Source organism: Homo sapiens, chromosome 2, assembly GCF_000001405.40.
Source record: "Homo sapiens chromosome 2, GRCh38.p14 Primary Assembly".
NCBI classification, from domain to species: domain Eukaryota; kingdom Metazoa; phylum Chordata; class Mammalia; order Primates; family Hominidae; genus Homo; species Homo sapiens.
The window spans coordinates 5,539,480-5,556,508 of record NC_000002.12 but is presented as its reverse complement, the minus strand read 5'-3'; the positions used below and the strand labels follow the sequence as shown (position 1 = coordinate 5,556,508).

The following is a 17,029-nucleotide window of genomic DNA, read 5'->3' as shown; positions in this document are numbered from 1 at the left end:
AAAAATGAATTGTATTTGCATTTCTCCACATAGCAATTAATGGTTCAGTTTTTTTTTTTCTTTTACTTTGTTCTTTAAGGGCGCTGCTTCTGAAGTATGTGCCAGGTGGGCATAAGAGAGATTTTCAACAATTCCAAACGAGGCGGCCGTGCAATGCTTGAGTATGCAACTGAAAACGAGCATCCTCAGCCAACAGAAATAACAGCAAAGTCATGAGCAGTGTGGCCGCTTTGCATGTGCTGCTGCTTGTCCCTTTGAGAGATGTGCTGTGCATCCCAGTTCCCATTCCTGCATTTTCCCTTCTCCCATCGGGGCAGCCATGCTGAGAGGGCGGAGCTCCTCCCTCACACTCCTTCCGCTTCTTGCTCCGGCTTCTGCCGCCTTCCCCAATGAATTTCTGAAATGAAAGGAGCCTATTCCCTGCCTTTCCACCAGTGCAGAATGAAAATGAGAGCAAGGAACAGCAGAGCACAGGGTCTTGCTCTGAGTGAATGCACCCCTCGTGCACCCGGGAGCTGAGGTTAGTGCTATCAGTTACATGTTAGCAATCGATCAAATGGAAAGGGGTGTTGTTTGAATGGAAGGGAAAGTCAAGGAAATCAAACCTTTCCAAAAGTGAGGATCTCTCACAGGGCGATCCCAGTGCTACAGAGGCCTGCCGGAGGCGCCTGAGAAGCAGGGCACCTGGGTTTGGCAGCCCTTCCCCCGTGACCAAGAGCCCCTGGCGCTGACTGCCGTTGACCTTGACGCATAACCTTGGACAACTCACTCAGTACAGTCTCAGGAGCTCCTCTCCTTATCTCCCCAAAGTGGAACTGCTCAGAGCGCATCATTCCCAAGCCCCAACTTTCTCTGGCCCTTTCCCCAAATCTGTCTTAAACAAAGATACCCAGGAAAATAACTGACCTCTCTGTGTTTCACATTTTTCTGGAGCCAAAAAGCAATGTGGTTGCTGTTTGAAGCTGCGAACCTGGCAGAAAGAGCCTGTCACAGCTGCCTGTCCGGCCGGACTTCCTTTCATTGGCTCCATGTCCCGTTCTACCCTCTGTCCTCCAGGTCTCCCCAGAGCTCGCTGAGATCTTCCCAGCCCAGGCTGTGGGGGCAGCTCCCTGGAAGGCAGCTCAGTATTAAACTCCCTTCGTTTGAGAAGTGAATCTGAGAAACTCCTTACTATCTATCAGAAGGCTAGCACAGGAATGCATTATACTCCTCAGAAGGCGCAGGTACCTTATAAGAGTGGTTTCAGCTCCCCAGGGGGACTTCAGTTTTGTGAATTACCAACACATAACAGACTTGTGAGGACAGAGTGACCAAAGCATGGTTCACAGGCTCAGCTAAAATCTTCCTTCCGGGCCGGGCGCGGTGGCTCACGCCTGTAATCCCAGCACTTCGGGAAGCTGAGGAGGGCAGATCACAAGGTCAGGAGATCGAGACCATCCTGGCTAACTCGGTGAAATGCCGTCTCTACTAAAAATACAAAAAATTAGCCGGGCGTGGTGGCGGGCGCCTGTAGTCCCAGCTACTCGGGAGGCTGAGGCAGGAGAATGGCGTGAACCCGGGAGGCGGAGCTTGCAGTGAGCCGAGATTGCGCCGCTGCACTCCAGCCTGGGGTATACAGCGAGACTCCGCCTGAAAAAAAAAAAAAAAAGAAAAATCTTTCTTCCGACCTCATTCTCATCCTCTCAACTAACATTTGGCCAACATAAAGGATCAGGACGGAGATGATTCGGTAATTAATTTTGATTTGACAATGTTTTTTTTGGGAATTCTATCTAGACTCACTTTTATAAGAACCTGTCTCTGAGAGGTTCAAGAAGAGTATTTGTGATGCTTTAGAAAAAGGACAAATATATTATTTGAAAGACAGGGACTTAAAATATCTGATCGTGTATGAAAAAATTCATAGTAAACAAAATTGTCCATAATTAATCTCATTTAGAGAATTTTCAAGACAGTGCCTTTCCATAAGATATCTGAGAGAATATTTTAGTAGCTAATACCTGTGCATGTCTCAATGATCATGTTTCTGTAGACATTTACCAACATAGGATGAGGCTGGCATGCTCACGTGTCCTCATTGTTCATGAAGGGATGTGCATTCATCTGCTGAGTAAATGTCCCTGACCTCATACAGCTCATGCTGTAACGCTTTTATTTGACAGTCTATTAATTTTACTCTTAAGTTCTTTCTAGTCACTATAAATTCCTGGCAGAAATTCACATTTTGGGTTCAGTAACTATCTGAAAAAATGGCAATGTTTTATTATGCAGTAATTCTTGTATTTTAAAAAATCCTTTGGTTTAAAGGAACTATTTAGCACAGTGTATCTAACATGAATTTGTAGCCACACTGAGCTGAGCTCAAATTCCACCTCCGCAATTAACAGTGTATCATAGGAAACTTAGAATAGCTTTCTAAGTTACGCTTTTGCTACTACGTGCCCCATGAAGCCTCATTCTCTCTCCTCTTTTTATTGAACTTTCCCTCTGACTTTGCAGGACATTCATATTCTTATTTAATTGTAGTTTCCATAGTTGTGATTCAGCTCAGGTCTGCAAAGAGTTCTCTTGCCATGCCCTGGGCTGAGGTTTGAAAATGTGAGACCCAGTCCCTGCTCTCACTGAGCTTGTAGTCTAATGGTCTCATCCCCACATATTTTCATCTTCCTGATTTGTGTGTGTGCATGTATGCACACAACTTCTTTGGTTGTAATTTAATCACATGCAAATTCTAGGCTGTGTTGCCTTCACAATCCCGTCTTGTTTCTGCTTGAAAACGTGCCACAGATGCATTTTCTGGCATAAAGGAATTTTCCACACTGGTCTTCCCAAGCTCTTCTGCAAATATCATCATATTTGTAAGTGGTTGTTTCGGAGTCTTCCTCATTGTCCCTTGACTGATTTCACCTCCTCTTCCCCACCTCCTTGGGCTGGACTCTAGACTAGACTGGGGCTTGGCTGCTACGTGCCTTGATGGTGGTTTCTTCCCTGAGGTCCTCAGATGCAGAGCTTCACCAGATCCCCTCCAGGAGGAGCCGAGAGTCCAATGTCCTGAGTCTTCACTTGTTCTGAAATATTGATTGAACAAATAAAAATGTAAAATGCTCTTCCCTTGGAACAAAATGTTTCTCCTTTAGACCTCCCTCTGAACAAAGAACAACAGTGGCCCTCCCTAGAACAATAGTGGCCAGAGACCACACAATCCCTTTCCATTGGGAAATGCAGAGAGCCAATGAGTGTAGTTGATAGAGAAGGTGGAGATGTTGAAGAGGGTAAAGAAGATGGAGCTGGTGGAGGTGGTAAGATGGTAAAGAGGTGGAAAGGGTGCAGGTGGTAAAGACGGTGAAGAGGGTGGAGAGAGTGGAGGTGGTGGAGACAGTGGAGATGGTGGAGAGGGTGGAGAATGTGGAGGTGTGGAGGTGGTAGAGATGATGAGATGGTCGAGAAAGTGGAGGTGGTGGAGATGGTAGAGGTGTTAAATGATGGAGAGGTTGGGGAGGGTGGAGGCGGTGACGGTGGTAGAGATGGTGGTAACGGTAGAGAAGGTGGAGATGATGGAAGTGGTGAAGATGGTGAAGAAGATGGAGAGGGTGAAGATGGTGGAGCTAGTGTAGATAGAAGATATGGTAGAGATGGATGGTATCAATGGTGGAGAGATTGTAAAGGGTGAAGAGCATGAAGGTGGAGGAGGTAGGTAGAGGTGGTAGATATGGTTGAGATGGTATAGGTGGTGAAGATGGTGAAAAGAGTGGAGAGGATGAAGGTGCAAGAGGTGGTGAAGGTGGCCGAGGTGGTGGAAAGAGCGGAGAGAGTGAAGGTGGGGGAGATCAGGAGCTGGGGAAGAGAGTGAAGATGGAGACTGTGCAGGAGTGCAGGGTGAGATCTGTCACCCCTCCCACCAGCAATGCTATTACAGGGAATGCCGCATTACCACATCTTCCAATTTTTCAAAAGAAGACAGATATATATATATGTGTGTGTATATAATCTATATCATCAAATTTTGGTAACACTTTAAAACAATTTCAAATCGTGATCACTGCAACATCTGCAAACAACATTCATTTCAAAACTCTATTTAAGCATTCAGAGTCTTTCCTTAGCCTCCATACTTATTCTAGTAAATATGTGACAGTGGGCTAGAACAGCATTGTATTTTTCCAACATAGTAAGGGTTTTGCATTTAGATAAGCCAGTGATTTTGTTGTTCCCTCCCCTTAGTCCCTATGACACCCAAATGGAAATTTACGTGACATCCTTGTGGTAGGTACATCTGAGCAATCCATATTATTTGTTGGTCCAAATCAGGCCAAGCCAACAAACATGGTGGCACTCATCCACATCATCTTGAAATCCTACAGCAGGACTCTGATTTGGACTTCAGTGACATGCAGTTAGTTGAAATAAAAGGACTTGAGAATTAGCCCTGCATACCAGTGACCAGATAGCTGTGGGGCTCTGATCGAGTAGCCTGTCCTTTGCAGGAGTCAGGGAGTGCACGCTTGTTCTCCCTGCTCCCTCACCCTCTCCAGCCTATCTGACATCTTCACCACTTACACCATTTCCACCACCTCCATTGCCTCTACCCTCTCCAACCTCTCCACCATTCATCACCTCCTCCACCTTCACCCTCTCCACTTTCTCTACCATCTCACCACCTCTACCACTTCCACTGAGCTTGAGAGCTTGGCTCAAGAGGTTAATACCATTCCTAAATGCCAAGAAAAGCTTCTTTCTTGGAGAAAAGCACCATGCTAGGTGGATTTCCCTGATGGAGAATGAGACTTTTATAGTTCACTAATTTCCAGCTGTGAGGCCCTCTGGGTGCCATCCAGGCCCTTCTGTGGCTCTTTGAAGTTGGACTAAGAAGCAAATCTCTACTTGCACTTTAAGCAAAGTTGTTCTAAGGGGATCTCATGTCATTTTTCACTTTCAGTCACATGAAAGAGTTAAATAGCTTTTTAGAGAGCCACTGATGGAGACTATTTCTACTTCCCTTTTTGCATTGGTTGTCAGAGGACTCAGAATCTCATTGTGTCATCTCCTGCAGCCGGCAAAAATGAATTTTATCTTTCACAATAATTTATATCAGCATAGCATATGCTTTGTAGTTATTAATGTTTATCTACTTTATTTTACATTATTTTAGAGGCCAGTTCAAATCTTCAGAGAATGAGTTTGGATGTTAAATAAAATGAATATATATTGTGCTGTTGAGCTGTTGTCATACCATATATGCGTCAGAGGTTATCTGTTGTCAAACCCTGGTACGGGCTCTGTTAGGTCTACAAAAGAAATGCTTGGGGGAAATAGGTTGGTGGTTGATCCTCAAAATGTTATTCCTGGAACTATCATATAACCTAGCAACCCCATTCCTATGTATATACACAAAAGAATTGAAAACAGGGGTTCAAGCAGATACTTATGGACAAATGTCCATAGCAGCACTATTCCCAATAGCCAAAGGGTGGAAATATGTGTCCATTAACTGATGAATGAATACATAAATTGTGATATATCCATGCAATGGAATATTATTCAGCCATAGAAAGAAATGAAGTTCCACTACTTGCTACAACATGAATGAATTTTGGAAGCATTATGCTAAATGAAATAATTCAGACACAAAAGGACAAATTTGTATGATTCTACTGGTATGAAATATCTACATTGGGTGCAGTTATAGAGGTAGGAAGATCAGAGGTTATCAGGGGCTGCATGAAGGGAGAATGAGAAATTATTTCTTGGTGGGTAAAAAGTTCCTATTTGTGGGTAATGAAAAAGTATTAGAAACAGATAATGGTGGCAGGGTACGGTGGCTCACACCTGTAATCCCAGCACTTTGGGAGGCCGAGGCTGGTGGATCATGAGGTCAGGCGTTAAAGACCAGCATGGTGAAACCCCGTCTCTACTAAAAATACAACACTAAGCCAGGCGTGGTGGTGGGCGTCTGTAATCCCAGCTACTGGGGAGGCTGAGACAGAGAATTGCTTGAACCCGAGAGGCGGAGGTTCCAGTGAGCCGAGATCGCACTACTGCATTCCAGCCTGGGTGACAGAGCGAGACTCTGCCTCAAAAAAAAAAAAAAAAAAAGAAAAGAAAGAAAGAAGAAAGAAATAGATCGTGGTAACAGTTACAACTGTAACTACCTACTATAATGTGATAGTACAGCATTGTGAATAGAATTAATGCCACTGATTTGTACACTTAAAAGTGGTTAAAATGGCAATTTTTATTATTTTTCATATATGTAACCATAATAAAAATAATTTCTAAAAAGAAGTGCTTAGAAAATATTTATTGCTTTTTTTCTAGATTAATAATGAATATAAGAAAACGTTTGTGAAAATTAACTGCAAGTGATTGGGAAGCTTGTGTGTATTGGGCTTTGGTTTGTTTCAAAGATCATCCAAATCAGAATCTGAGCTTATTAAAATGCTGTTTCCTGGACAGACCTCAGCCTGCAGAAGCAGAATCTCCGTGGTGGGATCCAGAGCTTGTATCTTGGCCAAGCCCTCCCAGAAGTTTCTAACATACACTGAAGGTTCTCCTGCTTCAAGAGCCAAGATCCTCAGGCACAAAATCAGGCAACAGGAGTCCTGGGCTCTGCCCTTGCTTGTGGAGTTCTGGAAACGAATGCATTTGGAGTAGGTGATGTTTAATGATCCTTTCTGTTCTCAATTCCTGTAATACAAATAAACAATAAAATACTTACATCTTTATTATTTACATTATAGTTTAAAGTTGTATATATTGATGCAAACAATTAGGTAAGATAAAATAAACAGAAAAAATAACAGATTTATTCATCAGAAAATATGATCTATTCATCAGAGAATGTCAAAGAAATCCAAGAAATGTCTTTGTATGAGGAAAATGAGCAATTGTGGATTTTACCAAAGGATTAGAGACACTGGGTTTTCTTCAAATCTGTCTGTGAGGCTTTCAAAGGGCAGGGCCTCAGCCCAGAGCACATGCTTGGTACACACATGCATCAGTGGTTCCTTGAGCTGTATTAAATTCATGGAGAGAAAAAAATCAAGGTCAACTTGTGCTTTTTTCCCCGACTGTAAAGGTTTTGCCTGTAATCCCCTGCTTTATGTGAATAATTTGTTTCACATGAGTTGAATACTGTTTAAACAAGCCAAGTATCACATTCCTTTTGTCTGAATAGCTGTAGAGGACATATTTTAAGGTAAACTAATTAAGAATGGGCTTTCAAAAGGCCTATTTTTAAGAAGGTGAAAAATCAAGAGATAGGAAGTGTTGTCTGGGTAAAGTCAAGCAACGTGAAAGCCGGTTGGAATGTTTATGACCAGCTCCCTCTCACTGTGGTCCGAGGGCCAACCTGAACACAAATTCTTCTTGTGCTAGGAGCGGGGTTTGGGGTTGTAATTTGATCCTTTCAATTATACAGCAAATGCAGCCACTGTGAATTGTACCAGGACTATCCAGCTTCCACAGTGCATGACTATACTGATATTCTCCTGCAGAAAATGAAATCTTCCAGACTGCCATTGGTTCTGGCCATTTGAATGTTAAATATGGGTAATAACTGCAGTGGTTTACACTCAAATATTTAGAAAATGCTCTTTAGCAATCCTAACGAAAATCAGATGTACCTTGCCCCAGCCCCACATAAGCACTTCTGTAAATGTCATTTGTAAGTCTACAGCTTGCTTTTCTGTCAAGAAATGCATGCCGCTTTTGGGGAATATTTTCAATTTACAATCCATTTTCACCTGCGAGCCTCTAGAATGATTGCTGGGGAATGGGATTTTTTAGATGGTTTAGGCCATTTCCGACTATTCCATGGCATGGCCCAGAATTTTGTGAATTACAAAGAAGTTAAGATCAGCATTGTTTTTGATGATTGTCTGGTTGAAAATGTATCCATCAATGAAGAATCATGCCCACTGTGATTTATTTAAAAAATTACCGCTTTTATGTTGTCCTCTTCCTTAAGAGGTCTATTACAATTACATAATACTCTACTCACACAAAGGATGTAATTTTCATTTTGTCTGTATTATTGTCCTTCATCTAAAACAGAAAGTTTAGTTGGAGAACTCTGGGAATCGTTCATTTTAGTTTTTGTACAATGTCAGTGTGGGTCTGAGTGTGGCCTTGGCACACTGCACAGAGGTGAGCTGACAGAGAGCTCTTGCTAATTGACCACAGACTTGTTAGAGGCCCTCAGACCAGTTAGTTACCCTCCCAGCCTCAGTTTTCTCAATTTGAAATGGACATATATGTTGTATAAGATCATCTGTAAGATCTGTGGTGGAAGTCTCATCTAGATAAGGCAGGAACTTTGATATGACTTGGCTGACATTAATACTTTTGGATTGAACCATTGACTGGCACCATGTGGAGAAAGATCCAGGCTTGCCTGCCCACTGGGAACAGGGCCGTATGTATGCATCAGGTCAACTGAAAATGAAACAGAATATTCTGGATCTGCCATAGTTCATGCACACCCTCCTTTAGTTTCAACTGGTACCAACTTCTAGAAGAGGAACAGGAGATCAACGGCTCTTCTCCTGATGAGATTGTTCTTATTCTTAGTCATCTCTGATTTTTCTCAAATGCCAAGTTCTGGTTCCCAGATGGTGCTTTGATGAAAGGTGAGGCAATATGAACACTCAGCCCATCCTGAAATAGGAAGAGTTTTGATTCATCAAGTGCTTTGGCTTTCTTTTCCCCTTTCATAGATTTAAAAAATTTTGCATGTTGGAGGAAGATGCTCTAGTTTAAACATACCTTCTTAAAGGGCATGGTTGGAAAGGAGATAGCATCCCCCTTCCACTTTGTCACCTATGCTGTGCCCACACTCCTTGGCAATGCTAAGGCAAGGTAAATGATTAGTTTACTTTGTGCATTTTGGAGGGGGCAGTGAAATAGCAAGATCAACAGATGAGGATCCCCCACGTGGGTCAGTTTCAGCTGGGCTTCTCCCATGGATATACTGTCTACATCTCTTTAGTAAACTCTAATTCACAGGCCTTCATTTCCATGAAGCAGAAAATACTGCAATCAATAATTGATAAAGTCCATTTTGGAGCTTATAACTTACCATTTTGTTGTGGTTAGAAGGGATTTGTAGAGGGTGGTTCTGAATCCATCAAAATCCCTTGGGAAGCTTGTTGAATATGCAGATCTTGAGCCCCCTTCTAAGAAACACTGGGTCAGTAATAGAACCTACAAATCAGTGTTTCACAGAATTTCCTCAAATGATCAGGAAACACTTTATTGAATTTACTGATGAAAATTGGCCTGGGTAGTTTATTTTAAATTGGAATCTAGTGATCTTCAAGATTATCTGCTTTAATATTTTTTACTCCTTTTTCTGTGATCTTCATGGTATTGATACAAATAAAGGTGCCATGGTCAAACAGACTTGGTAAGAGAAGAGGCAGGTTTCTTCACTGTGTGTTCTCTGGAGCCTTTAGCCTGCTACTGTGTCATGAAGCCTCAGGGTGGCCATGGGGTATGCAGCACCTCAAACATTCTTGACCTGGGGATATTTTATCCCCACACTGTCCCTCAATGTTTCCAGAAATACACTTTGCAAATGCAAATTTATTTACCTTCTCTCTCTCTCTCTCTATATATATATATATACACACACACATATACATACACATATATATACATATATACATACATATATATGTATATACATATGCATACATATATACGTATGTATATACACACATTCTCTCTATATACACATACACATATACACATATACATACATATATGTATATATACACATACATATATGTATATATACACATATACATACATATATATGTATATATGCAAGTATACATACATATATACATATATATACACACACACACATATATATATATATAGAGAGAGAGAGAACTTCTTGAGACCTCCAATGAGGTGCTTTGGTTCTCTGAGGTCTCACGACCTCATTGTTTTCAAGGAAACTTATTCCCAGGAGACTTAATGACATCACAATTGGAAGTCAACATTTCTTTATTGTCCTATAATACTCATCATTGTCTAAAACTAGTTACTAGTTACTGGCCAGCTTTGAATAAATCATCTAGATGAATCAGAAGGTGAATTCTAGGATATACTTTTGTCTCTTGCATATTCAGACTTGTGGTAAATGGCACAAAGTGGAGGTGACTCCTCCAGAGTTTAGTCACAAGCTCTTGAGTCATTTCTATGAGCAGGTTGATGAGCAATATCAATCCAGCTTTTATGGTGCACTTTCTTATATTTTATTAAAGCATCAATAAATGTAGGACTCCTTGGTGCCTGATAATTGGTTACATTTATTTCTTTAAAAATAATGTTTTTCTTGGTGTATAATGTAGGGTAATTAAAAAAATCAAATTCCCTTTATTGCAAATTAAAGAAGTGCAAAGTTGTGTGGTCAAAATTAAAGCTCATTTTAGAGTTTTTTACAAACTCATTTTAAAAAAATTTCATAACTTTATTAGTCATTCCTGAGATACCATTTTTAGCCATGACTTATTTTTTCCTTATCACTCTCTAGGTCTCCAGCCCTCCATTCCATCTCTATCTGTCTATCAGAAATCAATACATCCCTCAAGGTCCTGCTCAAATATCCTCTTTTACTTAAAGACTTTTGGGATTGTCTTCACTGGGAAAATACCTCTCCTACCTCAGAGTTTTGATGTTGATATTTTAAATTTAGCACTTTTGTAAAACTTATCATTTTATGAAATATTATAGTTAGTATGTACATGTTTTCTTGTCATATTATAAACTCTTCAAGATAAAGACAACTGTGTCACATTAGACCCACAACAGAGTCTTGGTCAGTGCCAAGAACATAGTTGTCTTTGTAAGCTCTGGCTGCTAGAAGAGAATACCAGATGCTAGGAGGATTACATAACAGACACTTCTTTCTCACAGTTCTGGAAACTGGGATGTCCAAGATCAAGGTGCTCACAGATTTGATTCTGGTGAGGACCAGTTCCTGGCTGCCTGCAATATGTGTCCTCATACTGTGAGGGAAGAGAGAGAGAAAATTCTGGGGTCTATTGCTCTTCTTATAGGGACACTAACCCCATTGTATTTCTAGCAGTTCACACTACTAGAAAGAACTACCTGAGACTGGGTAATTTATAAATAAAAGAGATTTAATTGATTCACAGTTCTACATGGCTGGAGGTCTCAAGAAGCTTACAATCATGGCAGAAGGTGAAAGAGAAGCAGTACCTTCTTCACTAGGTGACAGCAGAGAGAGCAAGCACAGGGGAGACTGCCACTTTTAAACCATCAGATCTCATGAGCTCTCCCTCACTATTATGAGAACAGTATGGGAAAACTGCCCTGACCATCCAATCACCTCCCACCAGATCCTTCCTCAATACATGGGGATTACCATTCAAGATGAGATTTCAGTGGGGGCCCAGAGCCAAACCATATTATTCCATCACTGGCCCCTCCAAAATTTCATGTCCTTCTCACATTGCAAAATCAAACATGCCTTCCCAACATTCCCCCAAAGTCTTAACTCATTCCAACATTAACTCAAAAGTCCACAGTCCAATGTCTCATCTCAGACAAGGCAACTCTCTTCCATGTATGAGCCTGTAAAATCAAAAATAAGCTACTTACTTCCAAGATACAATAGGGGTACAGGCATTTGGTAAATATTCCCATTCCAAATAGTAGAAATTGGCCAAAACAACAGGGCCACAGGCCCCCTGCAAGTCCAAAACCCAGCAGGGCACTCGTTAAATCTTAAAGCTCCCAAACACTGTACTTTGACTTGATGTCTCACATCCAGGGATGCTGATGCAAGGGGTGGGCTCCCCTGGTATTGGGCAGCTCTGTCCCTGTGCTTTTTCAGGGTACAGCACTCCTGGCTACTTTCATGAGCTGGTGTTGAGTGTTTGCGACTTTTCTAGGTTCATGGTGCAAGCGGTCAGTCCATCTACCATTCTGGACCCTGGAGGACAGTGGCTGTCTTCTCATGGCTCCACTAAGCAGTGCCCCAGTGGGGACTCTGTGGGGGTTCCAACTCACATTTCGTCTATGCATTGCCCTAGTAGAGGTTTTTCATGAGGGCTCCACCTCTGCAGGAGACTTCTGCCTGGACATTCAGGTGTTTCCATGCATCCTCTGAAACCTAGGTGGAGATTCCCAAAGCTCAGCTCTTGTTTTCTGTGCACCCACAGTCCCAGCACCACATGAAAGCCACCAAAGCTTGGGGTTTGCACCCTCTGAAGCAATGACCTGAGCTGTATTTTGGCCCCGTTTATCCACAGCTGGAGCTGAAGCAGCTGAGATGCCGGGTTCCATGTCCTGAAGCTACACAGACCAGCAGGGCCCTGGGCCTGGCCCGTTAAACCATTTTTCTTTCCTAGGCCTCTGGGCCTGTGATGGAAGGGGCTGCCATGAAGATCTCTTAAATGCCTTGGAGACATTTTCCTCATTGTCTTGGTGACTAACATTGGGCTTCTCATTACTTATGCAAATTTCTAAAGCTGGCTTGAATTTCTCCCCAGAAAATGGGTTTTTCCTTTCTATTGCATGGTCAGGCCACAGATTGTACAAACTTTTATGCTCTGCTTCCCAATTAAATAAAAGAACCAGCTTCAGATAATCTTTTTTGTGAATGTATATGATTGAATGCTTTCAGAATCGCCCAGCTTTTGAATGTTTTGCTGCTTAGAAATTTCTTCCACCAGACACCCTAAGTCATTTGTATCAAGTTCAAGTTCAAAATGCCACCAGTGTCTTTGCTAAAGCATAGCAAGAGTGACCTTTGTGCCAGTCCCCAATAAGTTCCTCATCTCAATCTGAGAGCACTTCAGCCTGGACTTCATTGTCCATATAACTATCAGCATTTTGGTCAAAACCATTCAATAAGTCTCAAGGAAGTTCCAAACTTTCCCACATCTTCCTGTCTTCTTCTGAGCTCCCAAAACTGTTCCAACCTCTGCCTGTTACCCAGTTCCAAAGTCGTTTCCACATTTTCAGATACCTTTATAGCAGTGCCTCAAACTCCCAGTACCAATTTCCTGTTAGTTCATTTTTACACTGCTATAAAGAACTGCCTGAGACTGGGTGATGTATAAATAAAAGACATTTAATTGACTCACAGTTCCACATGGCTGGAAAGGCCTCAGGAAACTTACAATCATGGCGGAATGTGAAGGAGAAGCAATACCTTCTTCAAAAAGCGGAAGGAGACAGGGCAAGTGCAGGGAAAACTGCCACTTTTAAACCATCAGATCTCATGAGAACTCCCTCTCTATCATGAGAACAGCATGGGGGAAATTGCCCCTATGATCTAATCACCTCCCACCAGGTCCCTCCCTTGACACGTGGAGATTACAATTCAAGATGAGATCTGGGTGGGGACACAGAGCCAAACCACATCACCCATCATGGGGGCTCTGCTCTCATGACCTCATTTAAACTTAATGATCTCCCAAAGGAACCACATCCAAGTACCTGAGGGTAAGGGCTTCAACATACGAATGTGTAGAGGTAGAACTATTCAGTGCATAAGAAGGGTAGTATTCAAATATTTATTGAATTAATGAAAAATGAACCTGTTTTTAATGTTAGATGGTATTGGCAGGAGAGTACTTAATAGTAGATCGATGCATTCCTAAGACTGTAGAGGTTTGAAGCCTTTGTGGAATCCCCAGCTTCATCCATTAGCCCTGAGTGGGAAGGATCTACTATGCTATTTTTGTTTATAGAGGAGGTGCTGCCATTCAGATGGTTAAGTGACTTTCACGGGATAGCAGTGGTGAGACCAGAACCCAGGTCTTGCACCTTCCCATAGCCCAGTGCCCTTCCCTCTGTGCCATCTTTCTCCTGTTCAGTGCAGGCCCTCCCCACTACTCACCTGCCATGATGGCTCATCAAATCAGTTATTTTTTCTAGATAGTGACAAGGTCCGGAAACTTTGCACAAAAATTTTAAAAGTATGGAATATTGTACCTGCTTGTTGGATTTGTTACAATCTTTTTTTTATTTGTACAAATGGATGGGGTACATGTTCAATTGTGTTACATGTGTAGAACTAAGTAGTGGTGAAGTCAGGGCTTTTAGGGTATCCATCATCTGAATAACATGCATTGCACCCATTAACCAATTTCTCATCTCGATAAATCAAAATGAGTTCACCAATTAATGAGAGTCTTACTTTCTGCTATTTATTTACCAGATTGCCAAATACCAAAAAACAGCCAGAATGATAGCTATTGTTTATTATGTACCTATTATGTCTTAGTCCATTTGGGCTGCTCTGAAGGATACTAGAGACGGGTGGCTACTAGAATGCTAGGCGGCTTAAACAGAAGTTTATGCTGTCACAGCTCTGGAGACTGAAGTCTGAGATCAGGGTGCCAGCATGGTTGAGTTCTTGTGAGGGCTCTCTTCTTGGTTGGCAGGAGGCCACCTTCTTGCTGTATCATCATATGGTGTACACCAGGGTGAAGCAAGCTCTCTTCTATCTTATTATAAAGATAATCCCTTTCATGAGGGCTGCGCGTTATATTAGTTCATATCATATTACATGCAAAATACCATCTAGAATCTTAAAATTTAAAACTTCTATTAATTGCCACAATCATCCTAAAAGTAAGGAATATTCTTTTTTGTACAGAAAGGGGTGAGAGAAATGTAACTTGCCTGAGACCACAGAACTCATAAACAGTGGAGCTTGGATTTGAGCTAGGGAGTTTTTAATTTCAAAGTCATACTTTTTTTTACAGTACTAAACTACCTCTAAACTCTGCGTGAATGATATTAGGTGTGTGGGATCACAAGCCCTGTTGGTGTCACTGCCCCTTACCTACTACTCCAGACTTAGAAGGAAAAGCATGAAGTTGATAGATTTCACTCTTACTTTGGTTACCTTTTTATTTCTTCTACTCCATGCCTTTTATAGCCTTTTAAATATTTTCTGCTTGAGAGCCAGTATTTTTGCCTTTGTTTTGTTTTTGTCTTTTGTTTCTTTTTAAAAATATGTAACTAGAAAAATACATATACATTAAAACATATGTCAGTTTATGATAAAGAGGGAGACAACATACATTCATTACTTAGGTAGAAAAGAGATGTTAGAAGCAGGCATTTCCCATTCCTTCTCTTCTGATTATTGTGAACAATAATTATGATGACAATTGTTTGCTAGGTTCACATCCTCAGACTCTTAGCTCAAAGATAAGCTTATCTGTAAACCTCAACTGTCCTTTTTAATTTTTATAATGTCTTCTTTTCCTCTGGAACGGAACTGGAAAAAGATTTCTGAGGACTCTTACAAGGAGAAAGGAAAAAAACAGGAAAAATAAATAGAAGAAAGAAAACATTAAAATAGTTGAGGCTGGGTTTTGTGTGTGTCTGGGGTTTGGGCTGGTGTGCCTGTTTTTTATTAGCTCTGCCCACAGCCCAGGGTTAACCTGGCAGCTCTCTGTGGAGTTGGCTGGCCTCTTTATTGCCACGTGCACCCACCAGCTGAGCCAAATCCCCGAATATGGAGCTATGGGTGTATAAAATCATACGTGGGTTTGGGGGCACTAGCCCTTTGCTCAAAGTAATGATGGATGCCTTAGCTTTGCAGTAATTTTAGTTGACTGGATCAGTTTTCATATGGAAATTTAATTTTCGATTTTCTTTGATTATTGCACTTAGGCATTTCAAAGGACACATTTATGTAAACCATTCTGAGTCTTTTCTAAGAAGCCAGCCCACAAACTTACCTTTTCTGTTATGGATAAAAGCAAAATCAGTTTTTTTTTTTTTTATTTAAAAACAACAGAGACATTGTAATTGTTTATATCAGTGTATTGTTTCTCCTAATTTTTATAATAATGTACTTATTGATCTCAATTATAAAGAAGTAACAATGGAGAGCTAACTCTATATATTTATATTGCGTTTTAAGGCAAAACAAACAAGCAAAAAACAGCAATCAAAAAACAGTCCATTTTACTAAGGCAAGAATCCTGGATTTATCAAAAGGAAGTAGGAGTTTCGACTCCCATCTCTACCGTATATGGCATTTCAGTTTTCTCACCTGCAAAATGGCAGCACTAGGTCTACTGTGGGGACTCAGTGAGAAAGGATGTCAAGCGTTGCGTACACGGCGAGGGCTCCGTATCTGCTACTACCTTTCTTTGACTTATCTGTACAAATTAATGATAGATTAAAGAATCCATCACTTAAACTTACTATGGTTCGTTGTCCTCCTCTGCTGTGCAGGTAATTTTTGCATCATCCAGTTTTAAAGTTTGTAAGCAGAGTTCTGTCCCATGGAGGGTACCTTTAAAAAATCAAACTGGACTGAGAAACACACCAGCAAGCAGACTCGTGCTCCAGTCTGGGCATAGCTCTTCAGCCCCCTTCTGAAAATATAAACACAAGCAGAAAACTCCCGCAGCCGCTGGAGCACTTGGATAAACACAGCAGCCCCCTCCCCGCCTCCCCTCCACCTCCCTCACCGCCTGTTTTTCCGGAAGTCTGTGAAGTTCAACAGTCTCTCCTTCAGACCTGCAGAGCAGGCAGGTTCTGCGTCCCACAGCTCCCTCCCCTGACCCTGGCCCCCGGGAGGCTAAATCTCCTCCCGGTGCAACACACTGGGGCCCTTCTGGGGTGAACTAAAGGGGACAAAGGAATTTCCCAAGCAGAAAGGACCCAAAGGTTACCTAAAGCAGCACGTCTCATCTTGGGGAGTCAGCTACTGTGAACTTGTCCGCAGGGATTTTTATAAAAGCGGTTTTATAAAATCCTTAAACTAGAAGGTGCTGGCTTCTCCTGCTGGGGGTTGGGGGTGTGCTGTCTGAGTTGTTTATCAGATGGTTTTGCCCTGGGTCAGCCATCGTTTTCACCCCATCCTTCTTGTGGTCAGTGACTGGGGTCAGGAGGTGTCTCTGGTTCTTGAGTAGTGTTTTTTCTCTTGTAAGTGAACTGGGTCCTATGAGGATTGAACCGGTGACCTCGCCTCCATTAGCACCAGGCTTTCATCACTGGAACTCACCAGCCCAGATGAACT

The 17,029-nt window shown here is 41.8% G+C and overlaps 2 long non-coding RNA genes across 2 annotated transcripts; one reads left to right on the top strand and one right to left on the bottom strand.

The window, feature by feature from the left end:
- The first annotated feature begins 348 nt into the window (after positions 1-348).
- LOC124905950 (uncharacterized) lies at positions 349-6,729 on the top strand. Its single transcript, XR_007088652.1, has 2 exons — positions 349-520; positions 6,454-6,729. It is a non-coding gene; the product is annotated as an uncharacterized LOC124905950 (long non-coding RNA).
- On the bottom strand, positions 6,310-16,409 carry LOC107985842 (uncharacterized). The gene is made up of 4 exons (XR_001739261.2): positions 16,210-16,409; positions 9,077-9,173; positions 8,508-8,655; positions 6,310-6,684 (listed from the first exon to the last, which is right to left on the bottom strand). It is a non-coding gene; the product is annotated as an uncharacterized LOC107985842 (long non-coding RNA).
- Positions 16,410-17,029: the final 620 nt, after the last annotated feature.